The following is a 7,895-nucleotide window of genomic DNA, read 5'->3' on the forward strand; positions in this document are numbered from 1 at the left end:
TTCATACTTGCCTCTTGCTCCTATAGGTACACTTAGAAGGAGAATGGTAAAGGTCCTAGACACAGAGATGCATACACTGGCAGGCAGGATGTATAGATAAGACACTGACAGTGTCTGCTGTAGGCACTTACTCAGCAAGTCTCTTTCTTGCCTCTGAACAATATGGAGGTCCATGTTAAGCTCACATCTCAATGAGCTCTCCTGCCTAACAAATAAGAACAAATGTTCACCCTCCTCAGCCTTACTTGATAGTGGACTCAGATAAGATCCAGCACTCAGGTTACTGTTGCAGGAAGTCAGGGACCCCAAATGGAGGGACCGGCTGGAGCCGTGGCAGAGGAACATAAATTGCCAAGATTTCATGGACATTTATCAGTTCCCAAATAAAACTTTTATAATTTCTTATGCTCGTCTTTACTTTAATGTCTTAATCCTGTTATCTTCATAAGCTGAGGATGTACATCACCTCAGGACCACTGTGATGATTGTGTTAACTGTACAAATTGATTGTAAAACATGTGTGTTTGAACCATATGAAATCAGTGCACCTTGAAAAAAAACAGAATAACAGCAATTTTTAGGGAACAAGGGAAGACAACCATAAGGTGTGACTCCCTGTGGGGTCAGGCAAAAAAAGCCATATTTTTCTTCTTGTAGAGAGCCTATAAACAGACGTGCAAGTGGGGAAGGTATCACTAAATTCTTTTCCTAGCAAGGAATATTGATATTAATACCCTGGGGAAGGAATGCTTTCCTGGGGGGAGGTCTATAAATGGCTGCTCTGGGAATGTCTGTCTTGTGCAGTTGAGATAAGGACTGAGATATGCCCTGGTCTCCTGCAGTACCCTCAGGCTTACTAGGGTGGGGAAAAACTCCACCCTGGTAAATTTGTGGTCAGAATGGTTCTCTGCTCTCGAATCCTGTTTTCTGTTGTTTAAGATGTTTATCAAGACAATATGTGCACCACTGAACATAGACCCTTATCAGTGGTTCTGCTTTTGCCCTTTGCCCTGTGATCTTTGTTAGACCCTTATTAGTAGTTCTGCTTTTTGTCCTTTAAGCATGTGATCTTTGTACCTACTCCCTGTTCTTACACCCCCTTCCCTTTTGAAACCCTTAATAAAAACTTGCTGGGCTGAGACTCAGGTGGGCATCACAGTACTACTGATATGTGATGTCACCCCCAGTGGCCCAGCTGTAAAATTTCTCTCCTTGTACTGTCTCTTTTTATTTCTCAGCCGGCCAACACTTATGGAAAATAGAAAGAACCTATGTTGAAATATTGGGGGTGGGTTCCCCTAATAGGTTACAAAGAGGGCAACAGCATGAAGCAAAAAAACAAAAGCCTTCTTCAGAGTTGGAAAAATAAGCAAACAAACAAAGAGTAGGCACTTATAATTTTACAGAGCATATCAAAGACAAGCAAAACTGAAATAAATAAATAAATAAACTGATGAAGACTGCTTAGCTAAGTGCAGTGGCTCATGCCTGTAATCTCAGCACTTTGAGAGGCCAAGGTGGGAGGACTGCTTCAGGTCAGGAGTTAGAGACCAGACTGAGTAACATAGTGAGACCCTATTTCTATCAAAAAAATAAATAAATAAATTAGCCAGGCATGGTGGCCCTTGCCTATAGTCCCAGCTACCCAGGAGGCTGAGGCTGGAGGGTCACTTGAGCCCAGGAATTCACATTTACAGTGAGTTATGATCATGCCACTGCACTTCAGCCTGGGTGACAGAGCAAAACCCTGTCTCAAAAAAAAAAAAAAAAAAAAGACACTGATTACAGTGAACAGTGATTAATCACTAGAAGTAATGACTGAGAAAAAAAAAATAAGTGGGACGAGGCAATATAGGGCATTCACCTGGAAATCAAATGGAAGGAGAAAAAGGCTGAGAATCCAGGCCTGGATAAGAGATGCTTTATTTGTCCAGCTGGATTTGGGTTATCTTTAGTTCCTTGCAGAAAAGGACCTGGATATTGATATTAGAACATCACTGTGTTCATGGCTGTTATAAGCATTTCTGTCTAATCACCTGTATAGTATCTCTTTCCAGAGTAAAGGATTAGTCTTGCTCAACTAATCCTTTTATCATCTTTAAAAAATCCTGGAGTAAAGAACCTATCAAGATATTGCTGTATTAAGATATCAAGCCTGGGAGGGCACTATTTGATTTTTGCTAGGTCAAAACTCTAGCACCCAGAAGGTACAAACCACGAAAGCACCTTTTAAATACACACACACACACACACACACACACACACACACACACACACACACGGATTTCTGCTGGGCATGCTGGCTGCATGTCACAAAATGTCTCCTGAACAGCAGGAATTTTAATTAAATCAGGGGAGATCTAATTTGGCCTAAATTGGCTTGCTACAAAAGGTGCTAAGGAGAACAAAAATTGTTCTGCAATATGGATGTTTGTGAAAGGGTTGGGCTGTATCCATTGACAATGGTAATGCAAAGTGATGTGGAAAATATGAAGCCCACTGAAGATGCTAGAAAGCCTGAGAATGCTAATCTGTGATAAGCTGATTACAGAAGAAAATATATTACATGCATGAACTCCTGGAACTAAATTCATCTGAAGGTACAACCAACATTGAAGGCTGATCTCTGGTAGCCCTCAAAGAAAATAAGGGAGAAAGATGAGGGAAAGAGAAGTATAAACCACTATTATTGTGTAGACTGGAATAGGAAGTGGAAGAGTATCACTGCTTGGACAGAGATAATGATAAGTATCATATTCCTTCATGCTTTCAAGAGAAGAAGACCTTTGATAGCAGGAATGAAAGAATGACCAAGCAGAACTGGACAGGTCTAACAAAAGAATAAGAGGGTGAGAAATGTGAGGACACCAGCAATAAAGTTGTTGAAGTTGCATGCCATGGGATTTAGACTGAATGAAGAAAGAAAAGTATTGGAAAGGGCATGGTGGGCCATGTGGCAGAGGAAGTTTGAAAGTACAGCAGTCTTGATGTGGTTAAAAATCAGAAGCATTGTAAGGAAGTGAGTAAGCTGAAAGGAGGGAAATTTAGGTCATTGTGGGGTATGGAAATTTACATTCTTTAGGTTTAGGATTCCTGGCAATAACCATGGGTGTAGGTGGTTGAAGGGGAGTAAGTGTAAGAATCATGGGAGTCACAGAGAAAAAGGAGCTTGGAGGTCTGGCTGTTGGGTGACTCATCTACATAGATGCTGCCCATGATAATTGAAGGAACTGGGGTGGAGACAAAAATAGCTATGCAATTGCCAAAGGCTTCAGTGTGCAAGAGGAAGAAGCCAAGAGTTAAGCAATTAAAGGCAATGAGAAGTAGTAAAGAGTGGTATAGATGAGTGTCATTAGCCTCAAAGGAAGAGGGCTTTTATGCCCACAAAGATGAAAGGGTAATGGTCCGGAAGCAGCTGGGAGAACTTCTCCCATGCTTAGGTCTCCATGAGATGTGAAGTCTGGGACAAAACCCAGGTCCAGCTGCTATTTAGGTAAAGTGATGTTCCCCAGTTGTGTTCTGTACAACGGTAGCTTGCCCAGATGTTACAGATGAACAACCAAATAATGTAAAATAAAGGTTTCATGATTATATGCATTTAAGAAATATTGCACAGTAAACCTTCTTCTGGAAGCATCATAATACAAACTAAAATATTAGAGCAATACTGTGCAGTAGAATCATATTTTACCATAATCTTTTCATCTATACTTGACTACTAAAGCATTGCTCTGGGGGGATACCTAGTAACACCACAACATAGGTATCCTGTAGAGAATGGGGAAAGCTAAGTTAACATAAGAAAAAAAAAAAGAGGCTTCCATAAAAGGTAAAGAGGTTGAAGATAGAGAGGTATAGTGTGGGGTCTAGAGGAGCCTGGCTGGTTTTAAATCCCTGATCAGGTACTTCCCAGCTCTATAACCTTGTGAAAACTGCCTCAGTTTACTTATCTGTAGAAGAAGGAGGAGGAGGAGGATAAGAACACATGTCATAGGGTGGTGATAAGGATGAAGTTAATTGACACAGGAATGCCTAGAAAAACACCAGGTACATGATATGTGCCCCACAAATGAAAGCTGTTATTATTGCAGAATTTATTTGCAATGGAAAGAGAGTTCTAGATGACAAACTGTTTTCCAAGCACTCAGAGTTGCTAGAAAGAGCAATCCCGGCTCCAAAGGAAGGGAGTAGGTGAGGTAACTCTCAGATGAACCTGAATCGGGAAGAAATGTGGATACCAGGGGCAGTTTTTTGAGAAACATGATTAAACATCCCAATTGTGTTTGTACAGTCTAGGAGCTTGCAGTTTAACCATTTCATACCCACCATTGTATGGGCTACCTAAGACAAGATGAACACTTTCTAGTGTGTTTATTATTTAACTTTCCTCTGGTGTAAACTTTCATTCATTTCCTTTGCCCATGTACATATCAAGGTCTTAAATGACTTTTCATCCAAATGTAAATGTAGGTAGTTCTTTCCACCCTCTCTTTCTGCCCCTTTCTCTTTACATGACTGTAAGAGCTGCTTCCATTCACACCAGTTGTGTTAATGATCTTCTCATTTCAAATATTAATCACTTCATTTTTTAAGGATAGTGTGTGAGAAATACAGAGATCTTTCTGATCACAGAATCTGTCTTTAGGTCTTGCAACTATTTTCTTCCTTTCACTTAATATCTTTTCAAATTACTAACCCAAGACTTCAGTCCCCTCTTTTTAGCTGACAGTTTTGAATCAGGAATATTGTACCGTGTCTACGTCTCCGAAATCTAATAAGACAGAACATGCTTTTCCTGCTCTGTGGAAACGAAGGAAAGCAACTGGAGAATGCTCTAGGCCACCGTCAATGAGCCCTAACCCTTTTCAGACATCTACCATACCCCACCCCTCTCCAGGAGATGCCAGAGATATTAGCTGATTATTCAGGGCCCAGCCTGAAAAAGCGTGGTGAACCAGATGGGATAGAAAAAGCAAATCCAAATCCTCAAAAAAATTCCTTGCTGGTACCTTATACCCATGCAAAACTTTACTAGTCACAAAACCCTGTCATGTTCATCATCTTCCCCTTGGATAATCAAATAATTCTGCCCCAATGGGCAATTCTAGGCTGGCCAGGCAACACTTATTTTTGGTATTTCTGTAAATATCAAAATATCTGAAATGGAATTATTCATACCTCAAAAAATACACAGGGAATTATACACTGTGTGAAGATAGCTCATCAAAAAGGTGTTCTTGTTTATTTGGCAATCTGACCTTTAACAACTTCCAAGGCAACTTATTATAGCATTAATTGCCTTTTATTTAACTATATTGAAGTAGAGCATCATTCCTTATGTTTATTAGCCATCTATACTTCCTCTGAGGTACTCAATATGGGCCTTTTTAGAATGGGCCCATTCTAGAGGAAAACCACAATGAGAAGAGAAGGAGGGTGAGATAGAGGATCAGGGAAGGAGAGAGGAAGAAAAGGAAGGTTTACAGGCTGTAGAACAGAAAAGATAAATTTCCTCAACCATCATAAGATTCATGGCTGACACCCCTGTAAAAAAAGGCAGAGCAACAAGAGAAAAGCACAACACATGTATTTAATATAAGTTTTACATGACATGGGAACCTTCACAATGAAGACCCAAAGACTCAGGAAAAACTGGATTATTTTTATAAACTGTCATACAGAAGTATGATGGGAGGACAAAGGTATAATGTAATGTTAATAACCTGGGGGGAACTTAGCAAGGCCCATTTGTTCAGATTCTGCTTGGCCTCTCTATGTGACATTCACTCCCTGCTGGTGTAGGGCAGGACACCTGTCAGATGAGTCTCCAGAAAAGAAAGGACAGTAAAAGTCCGAGAGCAACTGTGATCGTTAATATTGAGTGTCAACTTGACTGGATTGACGGAAGCAAAGTATTGCTGTTCCTGGGTGTACCTGTGAGGGTGTTGTCAAAGGAGATTAACATTTCAGTCCATAGACTGGGAGAGGCAGACCCATTCTCAATCTGGCAGGCACCATCTAATCAGCTGCCAGCACGGCTAGGATAAAAGCAGGCAGAGAAACGTGGAAGGACCAGACTGGCTGAGTCTTCTGGCCTATATCTTTCTCCCATACTGGATGCTTCCTGCCCTCAAACATCTGACTCCAACTTCTTCAGCTTTTGGACTCTCGGACATTTGACCACAGACCGAAGGCTGCACTGTTGGCTTCCCTGCCTTTGAAGTTTTGGGACTCAGACTGGCTTCCGTGCTCCTCAGCTTGCAGGCGGCCTACTGTGGGACTTCACCTTGTGATCATGTGCGTCAATACTCCTTAATAAACTCCCCTTCATATATACATCTAGCCTATTAGTTCTGTCCCTCTAGAGAACCCTGACTAATACGGCAACCTTCCTGCTTCTGTGGTTTCCTCAGTTTCCTTCAGATTAAAATCCTTAGCAGACCAAGGTGCCAAATTTGGGGTTATCATGTTTTGAGCTCCAACAAGGTCAGATCCCACACTTCTAGTGAAGACTTCCCCAATCTACTTCTCTCCCCTTTATTACATCTAAGGTCAAATTAGCTCTTTGGGGCCTATACCTCCTCTCAAGGATAATGTGCTTAAAAATCTAAATCCCCTTTGTCAGTTTTTCTTAGAAGACCCTTGGTCCTAGATCCTGGATCTCTCTGATATCTCATGATATTTGAGGACAAAAAGTACAAAACAGTGGAGACGTTGTTTCCCTTTAAAACATAAAACAGCAGTATTAATGCCAGTTTTTCCGTATTGTCTGTTTACCTCCACTTTGTAAACAAGTGTATTTTGAGAATGAGCTGGTTGAAGGTCACCAGGTTGAAAGTGACACAACCAAGATCTTTGCTAAGGTTTTCAGAAGGACTCAAAGCCAGTTCTTTTGACTCCTAGACTCCTGTAGCAATGTGGGCATGGGACACAGAGACTAGAAGTGAGGCATTCTGGGTTCCCCTCCCAATTTTAGCCACAGCAGCACAGTTCTGATGTTGAATATCTATTGGGGTTCTATAATATCTTATTGCCAAAAGGGTACCATTGCTGAAATAGAACTTTGGAAACCATAGCACTACACTAGGCTAGGAAGATGAGAGTAACAAATTCTACCTCTCCAGAAAGTTATGATCAAGAGAAAGCAATTGTCATTATCATCATCAAAATCGGAATATATTTGAGCTCTTCCTCTTTTAGGGCATTATATTTTTCCAGCTGCTAGAGACAAAACGGCTTTAAGACATGGCCTCATTACTTAGGAGCTAATAACTTAGTTGATAATGAGGACATTTCTAAAATGTTAAGATGTGCACTAAAAACTGGTATTTCCCAAAACAGTAATGTCCACCCAGAGTTCACTGGAAGAAGAGATCCTCCTAAAAGTTACAGTTCAAAGATGGGCTCTCTAGGATTTCAAAAATGGAAATAGTCTACAAGTATTATCCAGGGCAAATTAGAGACTGTCAATCATATGCAAAAGCACACTGGGGATCTCTGACTAATGACCCAGGAAGAGGAAGGATGTTTTAATAATATCCATCTTTATTATGCTAAGTGTTGTATATGAACTGCCTTATTTGATCCTTACCTAAACTCAGTGGTACAGGTATTATTTTTCTCATTTGGAATAAAAGGAAACTGATGTTTAGAGGGTAAAGTGCACAAATCAAACATCAGCACTTCTCAAACCTAAATGTGCTTCAGAATTAAATACCTATGGATCTTGCTAAATGATAGATTCAATTCAATAGGTCTGGAGTGAGGCCAATATTCCCTATTTCTAACAAGCTCCCAAGGGGATGCCAAAGCTTCTGTGGCCCAGATTATTCTTTGAGTAGCCAGGTTCTACACTATCATGCTTCTTACTGTGCCATTCCAGAATGAACTGGAGC

This window comes from Homo sapiens, chromosome 4 (assembly GCF_000001405.40).
Source record: "Homo sapiens chromosome 4, GRCh38.p14 Primary Assembly".
NCBI lineage: Eukaryota > Metazoa > Chordata > Mammalia > Primates > Hominidae > Homo > Homo sapiens.